At 37.8% G+C, this 865-nt stretch overlaps 1 annotated feature.

Moving 5' to 3' along the window:
* Window positions 224-393: an enhancer, noted in NCBI's record as "experimental_101181 CRE fragment used in MPRA reporter constructs". NCBI's record gives its function as "activates a minimal promoter by MPRAs in K562 erythroleukemia cells, with activity observed for both the introgressed and non-introgressed 8:131728403 variant alleles {active_cell/tissue: K562}" and the evidence as "EXISTENCE:reporter gene assay evidence [ECO:0000049][PMID:34662402]".

The following is an 865-nucleotide window of genomic DNA, read 5'->3' as shown; positions in this document are numbered from 1 at the left end:
CAGCACAGGGCAAAGAGGTCCAAAAGAAAGAAGGAGCCTGAAACTTGTGAAAGTCTCCCGGACCTAGAAATGAACAATTTAAGTTCAGGGCTAACAAAAAAGCCAGGGTGTCAGAGACCAATGTCTCAGAAGAAAAGGAACTCCAGAGAAAATTAGCATGAAATTTCCCTTTGAGAAATTTTCTGACATTCCAGGCTGTGTATACACACCAAGGAGAAGGCAGCTAATAACAGGCTTAAAATCTGTAAAGATATTCTGCAGCACAGGACTAGGGAAGCAAACAGTGGAGTCCAAGCTCCATCAAAGAAGATCCCTGCTGCACACCCCAGGCTTCCAAATGAAATCCATTCTGCCTGCCACAAGAACACTGAATCTTATCTGGAGAAAGACCACTTCACCCAAAGCCTATCCATTTTTTTTTAATTTTTAGAGATGGGGTCTCACTATGTTGCCCAGGCTGGACTCAAACTCCTGGGCTCAAGCAATCCTCCCACCTCAGCCTTCTGAGTAGCTGGAATTAGAGGCACATGTCACCATGCCTGGCATTTTTTTATACACAATATCTAACATTCAATCAAAAATTTATGGGCATGCCAGGACATGAAAAATAAATAAAAATCAAGAGAAAAAGAGAAGAAAAAAAATGACACAAGTAGACCTTCAGGTTATCCATATGTTGGGGTTATTAAACATAGACTTCACTATCTGCAAGCTTAAAATAATCTACTTAAGGAAATAGATGAAAAGGTGGCAAATATTATCAGAAAAAAATGAAGCCTATTTTTAAAAGTATCAAATAGGAATTCTAGTAATAAAAACAGTTAAATAAAATTGATAATAAAATATATAGTTTTAATAGCAGGTT

The sequence above is a fragment of the Homo sapiens genome, chromosome 8, assembly GCF_000001405.40.
Source record: "Homo sapiens chromosome 8, GRCh38.p14 Primary Assembly".
In the NCBI taxonomy this organism is placed as follows: domain Eukaryota; kingdom Metazoa; phylum Chordata; class Mammalia; order Primates; family Hominidae; genus Homo; species Homo sapiens.
This window is presented reverse-complemented; position numbering and strand designations above follow the sequence as displayed.